The sequence below is a fragment of the Homo sapiens genome, chromosome 8 (assembly GCF_000001405.40).
Source record: "Homo sapiens chromosome 8, GRCh38.p14 Primary Assembly".
Taxonomy (NCBI): Eukaryota; Metazoa; Chordata; class Mammalia; order Primates; family Hominidae; genus Homo; species Homo sapiens.
In genome coordinates, this window is record NC_000008.11 from 140886421 (window position 1) to 140901710 (window position 15290).

The following is a 15290-nucleotide window of genomic DNA, read 5'->3' on the forward strand; positions in this document are numbered from 1 at the left end:
ATCTAGAATGTAACCAATCACAGGATGGCGACAGGTGGAGAATAGGCAGAAGGTTGGATTAAATCATGGTGGTAGATTCAAGAGACTACGGGGACATTAAGAGAGGTACAAGACAGCATACAAGGCAGCAAGTATGACAATGGACCACTGTCTCTTGCATCCTGCTACAGTATTTTCTTATGGGCTCAACTTTTTTCCACGCTGCATTATATCATCTAATTGTTTTTTCAAAGAGAGCCCATGCTATTAGCTTTCTATGTCACTACTTCTCTGCAGATACCTTCATTTCACATTATCTTGATTAATAATTTATCTGATATAGACTTCTAAAGTACATGTTATTTTCCCTGAGCCCTTTGAAGATACTGTTCCAATGTCTTCTTGCATCCAGCATTGCTGATGAAAAGTCTGGTGTAAACGTCATTCTTTCTCCTAAGTAGGGAATTTCTCTGGTAGAATTTGGAATTTTATGTCATTATTTTTCTGAATTATCACTGCCATGTTTCTAGATGACTGGTCTTATTCAACATTGTACAGCCTGGGTTTCTCTTGGCTGTTCTAGATTGACCCCACACTTATCTCTAGAGCTGCCTGAAGCACGGTACTGACACTTGGCCAAAGCTATGGCCAAGATAAGTGATGTTTGTGATCATGGGACCCTGAGCTGTTTGGGGGGCAGAATATACCAGCTTGTCAGTGCGATTTTGTAATAATAACTGGACTGACAAGGTGTACCTGATTTTGGCAGTACCTGGGGAGGTCCACAGGTTGAGGCTGGCTACGTAGATGGAGAGTGCTTGTGTGACCCTCTCACAGATCCCCACCACTTCCTCATACTGAGGTGCTTCACACATAAGCCAGTAATGGTTTCACATCTACAGAAAAATCATGTCCAAGGCCAAGAAGCCTGTACCCAAGATCTCCAGATCACTTCAATGAGTATCATTTTACTACTGTTGCTGTAATGGATTTTGCCTATAAACTGTGAAATCTTGCAAATCTTTTCAACAATCAAACATTAATTAACATACAATTAGCACACATAATTGTAAAAGCACTAATACTTATTAACTGAAGCATGATAAAGGCTCTATAATGAAATGTTACAAAAATCCAGATATTCTTGGTGAAAACAAATCTTTAAACTCCTCAAAAAGTTTTGTTTTTTCTGAACCAAGCAGTCTTTCTGAGAATTTGCTTTCTACAGAACACCACTGTCCAGCAGAAATATAATGCAAGCCACATAAGTAATTTTAAAATTTCTAGTAGTCACAGTAAAAAAATAAAATAAAAACAAACAGGTAAATTCAATTTCAGTAATATAGTTCAGTTAACCTACTATATCAAAAGTATTATCATTTAACATGTAATCATAACACATTGATATATTTTATTCTGTTTTCTTACTCTTTGAAATGTGGTATATATTTTTATACTATAGCACATGTCAATTCAGACTAGCCACATTCAAGTGCTCAACAACTGCACATGGCTACGATAATGGGCAACGTAGCTATAATGAGTTTAAGACTGAATCGAGTTATTCAGTACCTGAATAACAATAAGCCGTATCATTTCAGAAAATAGTTGTGTGGCATCCCCTTTGATGCTATTCAATGGTCAGTTTCTTTCTGACAAGTAATTATACTTGGATTCTTTACTAATCTAATCCTTAAATCTAAATCCTACAATCCCCACTTCCTGTTCTAAGGTCATCAGGCCTTCAAATGCTGTCATGTTTCTTCCATTTTTCTCTTTCCTGACAATACTCTGTATCCATAATGTTCCTTTGTCTGATACCTCTTATGTTGTTCAGTCCCTTTGTTCAGATGTACAAATCCACTCATTAATTTACAATTATGATATTGCATTTTCAAATGTTATAGCATTAAAGCATTCAATGGAAGTTGGTTATGAATAATATCCAATCTTCCATTACAGTGACTCAGTATCATGAGAACCTCATGCTATCCCAGGAAAGGGCTATGGTGAATTCAATGCCAACTGTGATTTTTCTGCCTCAATCTGAAAATCACTGACTGATAATTTGCCAATTACTGTGAAATAAAACACGTTGTTTGTGGCCACATAGATTTGATCAGATTGATCTTCACAAGTTTGCTAAATGAGTTCTGATAACTTATACATTTGTATCTGATGTAAATTTTTCTTCACAATATGAATGTATGACTAGGAAGTTTTTAACATTGGCTAAAGGCTAACATGCCTGCAGTGACACTGACTCTATGGTAGTAATCCCCTTACATGCAGAAAGTTTGATACTAAAACCATGGCACATCTGTTAAAATCTTTCCTAGGTGAGTCTTCTGATGTAAGTCTTGAACATTTTTGCTAAATGTCTTGTCAAATTCATAATCTTTGAAAGGTTTCCCTCCTGTATGAATGCCCTAGAGTTCATTAGGGCTGATACAATGGTTTTATTGGAGAGTTTCCTCATTCACTGTATCTGAAATCTACAAAGACTAGAACATACACTAAAAGCCTTACATAAAGTTACATCTACAAGGTTTTTTTCCAGTATGAATTATCTGATAAACCTTATGGCAGGATGCTCATTGCAGGCCTTTCTACCAAATGACAGTGTTTTATAAAGTTAAAAGTAAAACACAGAAGTAGAAAAAAAACAGAAAACGCAAAAAAGCTAACCAGCTTCATAAAGAGTTTGTAAAAAAAAAGAGGCTATCATATTTTTAATAATTAATCCATTTGAATAGTTTGCTAATATTAAAATTTAGAGGTAACAAAAAATTATGTAAAATTTATATACAAGACTTTAGCCTTAAATCTTTTTTTTCTTTTTTTTCTTTTGAGACAGTCTCACTTTGTTGCCCAGGCTAGAGTGCAGTGGCACGATCTCAGCTCACTGCAACCTCTGCCTCCTGGGTTCAAGTGTTTCTCCTGTCTCAGCCTCCTGAGTAGCTGGGACTATAGGCATGTGACACCACACCTGGCTAATTTTGTATTTTTTGTAGAGATGGGGTTTCGCCATGTTGGCCAGGCTGCTCTCAAACTCCTGACCTCAAGTGACCTGCCCACCTTGGCCTCCCAAAGTGCTGGGATTACAGGCATGGACCACCATGCCCGACCTGTTGGCCTTAAATCTAAATTCTACCAATCCCTTTGCTTTGGTTAAAAATAATAAGGGCATGTAAGTTAGAGAGTAGCAAATTAATTAATTTACTTATTGTAAAAAAAAAAAAGAAAGAAAAGAAAAGAAAAAAGACGTATCTAAACTTCCTTGTCACTGGAAACTTCTCCTTAAAGATGAATATAGACTAGGTGGAGAGGGTAAGAAAGAGGAGGTATTTAACACTTCATCAAAGCAAATACTGAACATTTAAATACTGAACTCAGCTTTCTGAAATCACAGTGCTACCTTTTCATTCCCCACCTTCAGAAAGATGTAGTTACCTTTGCCTAGCATGCTCTTCTCCCACAATTCTGTATCACTATCTTTCCTCACCTTCCCAGACCCAAAGGAAATCCTTTCCAGTACTAACTTCTACGTTTAAAAGGTATTATTCCTCCAAGCTTCCACAACAACCTCCCGTGAAGCACTTCTACACTGTACTATAATCACATTCATGATGTCTCTCCCTCTACAGGCTCTAAGCTGTAAGATCAAGGACTTCACAGGGACCTTTTACATCTTCAGAACCTAGCACAGTGCCTGACACACAGCATATGTTCAAGAGTTTTAAAGGAAATTATCCTATCTGAAGTCATGCAAATACCTTCCAAATTACACTTTCTAGAAAAGTAGTTTATTTCATGACTGTTAGAGGCTATTTTAGTTGCATTGTTGCCTAGTACTCATCCAAGAGTTAAAAAAAAAAAAAACCTAGAAGGGAAAAATAAGTCAATGGTATTTTATGACTAAAATATGATTCAGTCATTATTTTTCTAAGAAACTTTACAACAATTAGAACGCTGGTCAGTCACATATTAACTAATAAATCTTATAATTAAAAATAGCATTTCTGTAATATGAAAAGTCCCCGATAAGTTAAATAAAAATTATTACACTATCTTTTTTCATACATGCCATTACATTTTAACCTAAATAAACATTAAAGATGTCTCATGGAAAAACGTACTTACCCTGACATCAGTAGCATCTCCATGCCTGATAATACTGGCCCAGGTGGTTGGCTCACTATTGCTTTCAAAATAATGAAAGACCTTTAATACTCGCTCCATTGCACCAGGAGAACGTTCCATACCAGTACCCAGGTGAGTCTTAGTACTCGAATTTGGTGTGTGATTCAAGTTGGGGTCAAGGTAAGCAGCTGCCATTATTTTGCTAGATGCTAGGTATCTGTCATATTCTGTTAAAAGAACAAAATAATTTTTTGTGTATAATACTTGAAATCTACCAATTACAATGTGATATGTTGTTTATATCAAATGTCCTATACTCTCTCTTGATATGTTATATGCGGAAGGAGTCTGAGGAGAATAGAGACCTAATCCACTAAAATAATAGCTGTCTCTCCCCATACCCAGAGTAGGACCTGATTTACAGAATAAATATTTGTTAAAAAAAAATTATTAAAAGGCCAGGACTCCAATTTCAGCTGTGTCAAAAAGTATCTACAAACAATGTAATACCCCCACCCCCACCCCTTTTTTAATCATAGCCTTTAAATTTGTTGGAAAATCTCATAGCAAAGCCAAATTTGTTAATTTGCTCCCTGCTTTTGAAAACTTTTACCTAAGAGAAAAGTTCTTTCTTCATATAATACAAATTCAATGAGTATTCATTATATATACTAGGCATTGGTGATTAAAAACACTATAATTAAAATAAGGTCCCTGGCTTAACCAATTCATTGTTAACAGGAGAATCAGACAGACAGCAACTGAAAACAAAACGAAAAAAGCATGCACAATTAAAATTTTTAAGTGCGATAAAGGACTTCTATTTGAGTTTGAAGAAATAGCCTGCACAAGCCTAAACACCCATCGAGAAACATGAAAATCCAGATTAAAAATCTTTTTAACTCAAACAATGTTTGAAGGGCTCAGAGACAAAGATATTCTGAGGCAACCAAGACAATGAGTGACACAGATGAAGACAGGAAATGATACTTAACAGCTGGCTGCTTTTTCCCACAGGGCATTTGCCAATTCTGAGCCCTTCAGAGCCTGAAGAGACAAGAAAAGGCTACGAATGGGAGAGAAACCAGCAGAGCTTTCGGCAGCAAGGGATCAAATCTTGGATTCTGGTGAGAAGGAAGGGTGGAGACTGTGTCAAACACTCTGCAGGTTGTCTCCTGAAGACAGTTACGGAATCCTGAACCCAAGCTGAGAAGGAGCCTCTCAAAACAGTGAAAGGGTTTAGGAAACAGGAATAAGACTTCAGGAATAAACCAGAATAGTGTTAGGACATCCCCAGGCTTGCAGTGAGAACAGCTGGGTGCAGAAGCAAAGGGAGCTTTGTAAACCTGGAGTACAATTCCTGCTCAGATCCATCGTGGCAGGCCAGGTATGGCTGCTCATGCCTGTAATCCCAGCACTTTGGAAGGCTGAGGCGGGAAGACTGCTTGAGTCCAGGAGTTTGAGACCAGTCTGGGCAACATGACAAGACCTTGTCTCTACTAAAAAATACAAAAATTAGCTTGGGCGTGGTAGCGTGTTCCTGTAGTCCCAGCTACTCAGGAGGCTAAGGTGGGAGGATAGCTTGAGCCCAGGAGGTTGAGGCTATAGTGAGCTGTGACTGCATTGCTGCACTTCAGCCTGGACCACAGAGTGAGACTGTCTCAAAACAAACAAACGAACAAACACACACACACACAAAACCACAGATCCAGCCAGGCATAGATGCTCATGCCTATAATCCCAACACTTTGGGAGGCTGAGGCAGGCAGATTGCTTGAGCCCAAAGGTTCAAGACCAGCCTAGCCAACTTGGCAAAACCCATCTCTACAAAAAAATTACAATAAAGAGCCAGGAGTCGTGGCGCATGCTTGTGGTCCCAGCTACTTGGGAGGCTGAGGGGGGAGGATCACTTGAGCCCAAGAGGGGAAGGCTACAGTGAGCCGAGATCGTGCCACTGCTTTCCAGCCAGGGCGACAGAGCCAGACCCTGTCAACTCCCCACTATCTGTCCAGCAAAGAAAAGAGCCAACCCTCTGTTGGTATCAAACAAAGCATAAATAATACCTTTTTCATCCAAATCATTCTCCAATTAGTTAAAAAAAAAAATGGTATAACAGCACAGTAAAAGGAAAAAAATTATAAACCAAGTCAAAAGATGCCAAAAACACAAAAGAAAAACATATGTACCATGTATCACAGTAAAAAGCTAATACCCTATATATATACAGAAATTCTTTTAAAATGAGGGGGGAAATGATAGAAAAGAATGCAAGAGACAATCCAGACAATTAATTAAAAAGATATACCAAGTGTAGGCAAGGATGTGAAGAAACTGAAACCTTCCTACATTGCTGGAAGAGTATAAAATGGTGCAACTACTATGAAAATAGTTTGGCAGTTCCTCAAAAGGTTAAACATGGAGTTACCACATGAACCAACCATTCCATTTCTAGGTAGACATATGCCCAAAAGAACTGAAAATGTATGTCCAAATAAAAACTCATGGCTGGGCATAGTGGCTCATGCCTGTAATCCCAGCACTTTGGGAGACTGAGGCAGGAGGACTGCTTGAGGTCAGGAGTTCAAGACCAGCCTGGGCAACATGGCGAAACCCCATCTCTATAAAAATTAACTGGGCATGGTGGCATGTGCCTGTACTCCCAGCTACTTGGGAGGCCGAGGATTGCTTGAGTCCAGGAGGTCGAGGCTGCAGTAGCTGTGATCATGCCATTGTACTCCAGCTTGGGCGACAGAAAGAGACCCTGACATAAAACAAAATGAAACACCCTCACATGTGAATGGTCACAGCAGCATTATCCACAATACCGAAAAGTGATAATAACCCAAATATCCACATCCATCAATGGATAAACAGATTAACAAAATGTGGTATGCCCAACAATGAAATATTGTTCAGCATAAAAAGAAACGAAGCACTGATACATGCCGCAACATGGAGGAACCTTGAGAACATTATACTACAAGGAAACCAGACGTGAAAGACCACAAATTGTGATTCCACTTATATGAAGGAATATGCAAATCTATACAGAAGAAAGTAGATTACTGGCTGCCAGTGGCTGGGGGTAGGGCAGAGTTGGGAAGGACTGCTAATAGATAAGGAGTTTCTTTTGGGGATGAGAGAAATGGTCTGAATTTAGATCATGGTGATGGTTGAATATACTAAAAAACACTCAATTGCACACTTTGAAGTTGTTAAAATGGTGAATTTTATGTTATGGGAATTTTACCTCTGTGAAAATATAAATATATAAACAACTGTCAAATAATTTTTTTAAAAAGGTCATAGCAGTACCCTGTCATTTGGTAAGGATGTGGGGAAACAGAACTCTCATACACTGCTGATGGGAATGTGAATTTTCTATAGTATGTATAAAGGGGAATTTGACAATAACAAAACTACATGTGTCTTCTGATCCAGCAATTCCACTTCTAGGAATTTATGCCAAAGATATACTGTTACCAACTAAATGTCTGTGTGCTCCCAAAATTCATAAGTTGATACCATACTCCCCCCAATGTGATGCTATTACAAGGTAGGGTCTTTTGGAGGGAATCTGAACTAGATAAGGTCATAATGGTGAGGCCCTCATGAATGGGATTAGTGCCCTTGTGAAAGTCCAAGAGCATGCTTCCTCTCTCTGCTCTCCAGAGATATGCCTGAGGATCTAAGTCCACAGTCTGAAAACTGGAAAAAAAGGGCCCTCACCAGAACTCCACCATGCTATCACTCTGATCTAGGACTTCCAGCCTCTAGACCAGTGAGAAATAAGTTTCTGTTGTTTATAAGCCACCCAGTTTATGTATTTTGTTACAATCGTCCCAAGTGAAGAGATATACTTAACAACAACATGAAAATACATATGCATAAGGTTATTCACTGCAGCCTTACAAAGTATTAGGAAACACCTAAATGCCCATTCATGGGAGACTAATAGAGTAAACTATGGTACATTCCTATAATGGAGTACTATGAATCTGCTGGGGGAAAAACAAAAGGAAAGAAGAAGAGCCCTATAATTGACTAAGTATGAATTCCAGGATTTATTAAGTTAAAAACCCAAAGTGCAAATCACGGCCACAGTATACCTTTTGAATAAAAGGGGGAAAATAGGAAAATATAAATGTATCTGCTCATATGTGCAAAATAACCCCACAAAGTAGAAATGGGAGTCCATTGAGACTGGTTACACATGGGAGAGGTGTGACCAAGATGGAAAGTACAGGAATGGAGGATGTGGTGTGGGGTGGCACTTCTGAGTATACATGAATACACCCTTATAACTTTTGGTACGCTATAGAAGATCTGAAGAGCACGATTAACAAATCTGATCTAATTGACATAGAAACTGACACTATACCTAATAGGATAATACATAATCTTTGCAAGCACACAAGAAATATTTTCTGAAGTTGCCCATACACTGAGTGAAAGAGAAAGATTCAATAAATATCAAGGGACTAAAATTATTCAGAGTATATTCTGTGTCTAGCATTAGGCTAGACAACAATTACAAAATAACTAGAAAATGTTCCATTGTCAGGAAATTAAGCAATGTATTTCAACTAACCCTTTAAGTCAAAAAGAAACTCAAAGTATTTTGAATTAAATGGTACAGTGAAAAGAAATATCAAAACTGTGAATGTAGACAGAGCTATACTTAGAGTAAAATCTATACATTTGGCAGGGCACAGTGAATCACGCCTGTAATCCCAGCACTTTTGGAGGCTGAGATGGGAGGACAGCTTGAGGCCAGGAGTTCAAGACCTGCCTGGGCTTGTGAGACCCCTACAAAATAATTTAAAAAAATCAGCTGGGCATGGTGGTGTGTGCCTGTAGTCCCAGCTCCTTGGGAGGCTGAGGCAGGAGGACTGCTTAAGCCCCAGAGCTCAAGGCTGCAGCAAGTTATGACTGCACCACTGCACTCCAGCCTGAGCAACAGAGCACAACCCTGTCTCCTTTAAAAAAAAAAAAAAATTACGTATTTAAATTCATGTATTAGAAGCGAAGGTTGAGTATCTCTAAGAATACACATCTGTGAAGGGGGGATGGTTAATGCACAGAAAAATAGAATGCGTAAGAGCTAGTATTTGGTAGCACAACTAGGCATTATGGTCAATAAAAATGTACATTTAAAAAGAACTAAGAGTATAATTAGAATGTTTGTAACACCAAAAAAAGATAAATGTTTGAGGTGATGGATACCCCATTTAGCCTGATGTGATTATTATGCACTGTATGCCTATATCAAAACGTCTCATGTACCCCATAAATATATATATACCTACTATGTACCAATAAAAATTTAATTAAAAAAGAATGCATATTTAAAAGGACAACTTAAAAGCAGAACAAAATTAAAAGTTACTCTTTTAAAAAACAAAATTGATACACCTCTCTAAGACTAATCAAAGATAAAATGAGTCAAGAAAAACTAGCAACATCAAAAATGAAGAAGAGAATATAATAAGAGGTAAGAGATAATGAGTAATACAATAAGGGATTATTAATAACTATGCCAATGAATTTGAAAATTTAGATAAGCACAATTCCTTGCAAAACACAACACAGCAAAATGAAACAATGTAAAATGAAACTAGACTGTTCTATTTAAAATAGTCCATCTAAAATTCTCCCCACAAAGGAACATTTTATTTCTTTCAACAAATTAAGAAATATTAATCTTACACAAATTCTTCCAGAAAACAGATACAGATCATTTCCCAACTTGTTTTATGACACCTGCAGAACAGTGATATCAAAACCTGACAGAACAGGATGAGAAACGATAAAAGTCTACCTTTCTTATAAACACAGATGCAAAAATCTTAACAAGTATAATCCAGCAATATTTTAAAGGAATAATGTATCATGACCAAAAGTTTATTCTAGGAATAGAAGAAAGGTATTCATTCAAAAAGCAATCAGTGTAATTCACCACATTTTCAGAAAGAAGAGCCAGCTACCTCGATACATGCAGAAAACACATATGATAAAATTTACCAACCATTCATGATAAAAACTCGCAGCAAACTAGAAATAGGATGAGATTTCATATATCTGACAAAGAGTATCTACATGAAATGTAAATACTAGTGGGAAAAAAACTTCCCCTCCCCAAACTGGAAATAAGACATGGATGCCCACCATTACCACTTGCGTACAGCATTGTTCTGGAAGTCACTGCCAAGTACCATAGACGCCCCCCCTTCCCCCCAAAAAAACGGGGGGGGGGGGTGGGTAAAACATAAACATTGGGAAAGAACAAACAAAACTATCATTATTCATAAACTATGTAAGTAAAACTATAATTATGCATAGATTATGAAGAAAATCTAAAAGAATCTACAAATAAACTGCTGGAATAAATAAATAAATGTAACAAGACTGCTGGATAGTAAAACAACAACTATACTTCTGATCATTTTAGCTAACTCTTTTGAAGCCCAAATTAGAAGATAAAGACAACTAAATTCATAGTATCAACTGCTTCCTGGAAGAAAAGATTACACCTCACAAGTCATCAGAAGAAAAGATATGCTAGCAATGAAAAAACACTACTTGGAATAAATACGGAGTATGTCGGGGGAGAAGCTAAACCAAAAATACCACACAATCCAAATATACCTATGTGGCCCAAAAATCAATGGTGAGATTCTCCATAAACAGGCCTTCATAAATAGGTCTTCAAAAAATAGGCCAAAACATTTTTTTAAAGATAAACTTTTGTTACAATGTTACCAGAATGAAGCAGTTTTCCATTATAGAATGTGATTTTGCTCCTATCCTTTCAGAACTTACCAAAAGAAAAAAAAAAGGAATGTTATTTTGTTTTACACTTTAATGTTTTATCTGCTTGTCAAAATCTGATCTGTGCTATAAATTCTCAAATATGCAATATATTTGCCATCAGGCCTTCTTCAGCTCTCTCCGGGAAGGTCTGTGTCTGATGCTGTTAACCTCCCAAGTACCCTGTTGGTGGCATTCACGTGTCTTCATGTTTTTGTTGGTCTTGAGGGTTCTGAGATCCTGGCATCTGGGTCACCTCTTTGGGCACTCATCACGGTTTGGTCAGTTCAAAGAATGGCCTCAACTATAGAATGACAAGTCCCAAGAGTTGCTTTCTGCTACAATGACTATTCTGTTTCTACCAATTAACAGACTTCCCTGTGTTGTTTGTGTGGTTCTGTATTTGCTTCTGATCCATGGCTAAAGTTGAACAGCTGGGGCTGCCAATTCTTTGTGTGTCTCTAAATGAAAAAAGTCTTTTACCCCCTCACCATGGAAAGGTAATCTTTTAACAGGGCTTTGTTATTGTAGCCCTTCTGTTTCTGCGGCCAATTACATTTTTAAAAACTTTTCAAGATTAATTATTCACAGAGATCTGCCACTTTTGCGCACTACATAATATCTTTTTCAATAAATTATCAAGGCAGAAATGAAAAGATTTTAAAACCAAAAACTGTTTTTACGTGGCTTAGGCCAGTACTTTTCAAATCATCTGTGATGAAGAACCAGTTTAAATTTCCAACCTATCACAGACCAATACTTTTGTAAAATACAATGAAAAGGAATTTCTAGAAAAAAGAAGTTTTTTTAAAAAAAGACATACCTAAGCCAAGCACAAAATTTCCATCATTAGAATCAATCGACATAAAATTACTATCAAATTGCTGTAAGGTGTCTAGATGCTTACACCAAATTTCCTTATCTTGTCCTAGGCTGTTAAACAGTTCCAGCACCAACATTCATCTGCACCAACATTAGTCTGCTGACTACACTTTACTGAGTCCTGGCTCAGCCAGGCTGCCCAGTTTAAATCACTGTAGGCAAGAGAGCAAATGTGGACTGGAATGGGAGAGAAGATGGAATGTCAATAATTGCTGCTCAGCTGTCTACAACTTTAGGTCTCCCTTTAATTAACATAGGAAACATATCAAGGGTTCTCAGTGCCTAACTGTTTCTTCTCCTCTTGAAGAAATAGGGCAGTTCCAAGTCCAGATGTGAAGAAAAAAGTGTTACTAACCTCTGGAGTTAAGCTCCAAGGTTCAACCCACAACCTGATGTAAATGCTACATAATGCAGCACATACAAAAAAGGGAAAAAAATGCAACGAACATAATAAACACCCTACTCTTTACTCCAGAATTCCCTCATTTATAATTACTGTACATGTTAAGATCCCACCAAGATAACTACCTCATTATGCTTAAAGTACACTGACCCTTTAATAAAACTTGAGACATTTGCTGAAGCTGTAAAGGGGAGGGAGAGTGGTGAGGGAGGGTGTTGAAAGAAGAGTAGCTCACTGTTAGAACATGAGAGAATAAGCAAAGGAATGCAAATTGAGACAGCTAAATCAAAAGAAATTATGACCTAACTTGAAGAGCTTTAAGAATCTGGGTAATATTTCTAGTTAAAGTGACTCCTTAAACTAAACTGGTATAAAAGTTATCTTCTCCATCATTTTGGTATTTTCTATAACGCTTGAGTTTATTTTCCCATAAAAAGTCTAACCTAAATTTCCTGATTTTACTAGACAAAGCAGCTAACATGAAATTACTTAATGTTTAATATGCCCTTTTTCCAATGTAACTTTGATACACTTTCTGTTAATAAGTGGAATCTGTATTCCCTCTCCTTGAATCTGGGTGGGCTTCTGACTCTGGCTAAGGGACTTTCTAGGCTAGGAAATAAAAGGCAATTACCAAAAGAAAAATAAACCAAAAAGAGTTGACCAAGATTCCCTCGGTTTTCTTGGAACTCAGCCACTATACTGATTACTACAGAAATACAAAGACTCTTACAGAGACTATTGTGAACAACATTTGCTAACAAATTTGAAAAGCTGGAATAAATTGATAAATTCTTGGACACATACAACCTATCAAGATTGAATCATGAAGAAACAAGAAAACCTCAATAAGCCAATTGATGAATTTTACAAAAAACATTTTAAGAAGTAATACCAATTCTACTGCAAACTCTTCTACTCAAAAATATTGAAGAGGGGAGAATATTTCCAAAATCATTTTACAAGGGCAGTATTACCTTTACAACAAAACCAGACAACAATGCAACAAAAAAAGAAAACTACAGGCCAATATCACTGAGGAACGTAAACACAAATATCCTCAACAAAATACTAGCAAACTGAATTAAACAACACATTCAAAAGATCAATTACCATGATTAAGTAGGATTCATCCCAGAGATGCAAGGAGAGTTCAACATATGCAAATCAATAAATGTGATATATCACATTAACAGAACAAAGAAGAAAAAACCATATGGTCTCATCTCAATAGATGAAGAAAAAGCATTTGATAAAATTCAACATCTCTTCATGATAAAAATTCCCAAAAAATAGGGTACAGAAGGAATATATCTCAAAATAATAAAAGGCCATATATGACAAATCCACAAACTAACATCGAGCTGAGGGAAAATGTGAAGGCCTTTCCTCTGCGATCTGAAACAATACAAGGATGCCCACTCTCACCACTTTTATTCAACATAGTACTGAAAGTCCTGGCCAGAGCAATTAGACAAGAGAAATAAAAGGCACCCGAATCGACAAGGAAGATGTCAAATTAGTTTCGTTGACAGATGACATGATCTTATAACCCAAAGACTTCACCAAAAAGCTTTAAGAACTGATAAATTCAGTAAAGTAGCAGGATGCAAAAACCAACATATGAAAAGAAGTAGCATTTATATACACCAACAACGAACAATGTATAAAATAAATCAAGAAAGCAATCACATTTACAACAGCTACAAAAAATATCAAATACCTAGGAGTCAATTTAACCAAAGAAGTAAATGATCAACATAAGGAAAACTATAAAACATTGGTGAAAGAAATTGAAGAGGGGCTGGGTGTGGTGGCTCATGCCTGTAATCCCAGCACTTTGGGAGGTCAAGGCAGGCGTATCACTAGAGGCCAGGAGTTCATGACCAGCCTCACCAACATGGCGAAACCCCATCTCTACTAAAATTACAAAAATTTGCCAGGCATGGTATCACATGCCTGTAATCCCAGCTACTCGAGAAGCTGAGCCATCAGAACAGCTTGAACCCGGGAGGTGGGGGATGCAGTGAGCCGAGATCGTGCCACTGCATTCCAGCCTGGGTGACAAAGTGAGACTGTCTCAAAAAGAGAGAAAAAAAAGGAAGAAATTGAAGAGGACACACATACACAAGTTGAAAAATATTTCATGTTAAAGGATTGGAAAAATTAATATTGTTAAAATGACAACAATACCCAAAGCAATTTACAGATTCAATGGAATCCCTATCAAAATACCAATGACATTCTTCGCAGAAATAGGAAAAAAAAAATCCTAAAATTTATATGGAACCACAAAAGACCCTGAATAGCCAAAGCAATCCTGAGCAAAAAGAACAAAGCTGGAGACATTACACTACCTGACTTCAAAAATTACAATAAGCTATAGTAACCAAATCAGCATGGTACAGGCATAAAAACACACAGGGCAATGAAACAGAATGGAGATCTCAAATATAAATCCATACATTTACAACCAATTCATTTTTGACAAAGCCTCCAACCTCCAAGATCATGCAGTGGGGAAATGATAGTTCCTTTAATACCTGGTGCCGAGAAAACTGGATAACTGTATGCAGGAGAATGAAATTACATCTCTCTCTCTCTCTCTCTCACCATACACAAAATAGCAAATCCACATGGAATTAAAGACTCAACTCTAAGACCTGAAACTATGGAATTACTGTAAGAAAATACTGGGGAAACACTTCTGGACACTGATCTCGACAAGGATTTTTCAACTTAAGACCTCAAAAATACAGGCAACTAAAGCAAAAATAAGACAAATGGGATTACATCAAGATAAAAAGCCTCTGCAGAGCAAAAGACACAATTAACAAAGTAAAAAGACAACACAAAGAATGGGAGAAAGTATTTGCACCTACCCATCTGACAACGGATTAATAACCAGAATCTATAAAGAGCTTAGAAAACTCAATAGAAGGAGTTGGAGGTACAATGAGCTAAAATCATGCTCAATGAACTCCAGCTTGGGCAAGAAAGCAAGATCCTGTCTTTTTTTTTTTTTTTTTAAATACTTTTAAGTTCTGGGATATATGTGCAGAACGTGCAGGTT

The 15290-nt window shown here is 37.1% G+C and overlaps 1 protein-coding gene across 176 annotated transcripts in view, besides 3 other annotated features; it reads right to left on the reverse strand.

Moving 5' to 3' along the window:
* Positions 1-15290, reverse strand: part of PTK2 (protein tyrosine kinase 2) — a 344180-nt gene that overhangs the window by 228521 nt on the left and 100369 nt on the right. For 175 of the 176 annotated variants that reach the window (NR_148039.2, NR_148038.2, NR_148036.2 and 172 more), the window contains one exon: positions 4123-4349. Coding sequence is in view for 158 of the 176 variants with exons in the window: in XM_047422021.1 (XP_047277977.1) it covers positions 4123-4349 (227 nt within the window). In the remaining 18 variants the exon portion in view is untranslated. Of the gene's footprint in view, positions 1-4122; positions 4350-15290 lie in introns of those variants that run through there. The other variant, NM_001352736.2, reaches the window with a different exon arrangement.
* Positions 4805-5435: an enhancer, noted in NCBI's record as "OCT4-NANOG-H3K27ac hESC enhancer chr8:141901324-141901954 (GRCh37/hg19 assembly coordinates)". NCBI's record gives its function as "activates a minimal SCP1, AML or CMV promoter by ChIP-STARR-seq in naive H9 embryonic stem cells {active_cell/tissue: H9 hESC(naive)}" and the evidence as "EXISTENCE:reporter gene assay evidence [ECO:0000049][PMID:30033119]".
* Positions 5436-6064: an enhancer, noted in NCBI's record as "H3K27ac hESC enhancer chr8:141901955-141902583 (GRCh37/hg19 assembly coordinates)". NCBI's record gives its function as "activates a minimal SCP1, AML or CMV promoter by ChIP-STARR-seq in naive H9 embryonic stem cells {active_cell/tissue: H9 hESC(naive)}" and the evidence as "EXISTENCE:reporter gene assay evidence [ECO:0000049][PMID:30033119]".
* Positions 6756-6969: a silencer, noted in NCBI's record as "fragment chr8:141903275-141903488 (GRCh37/hg19 assembly coordinates)". NCBI's record gives its function as "represses an EF-1alpha promoter that drives an FKBP-Casp9 reporter gene in an ReSE screen in K562 erythroleukemia cells {active_cell/tissue: K562}" and the evidence as "EXISTENCE:reporter gene assay evidence [ECO:0000049][PMID:32094911]".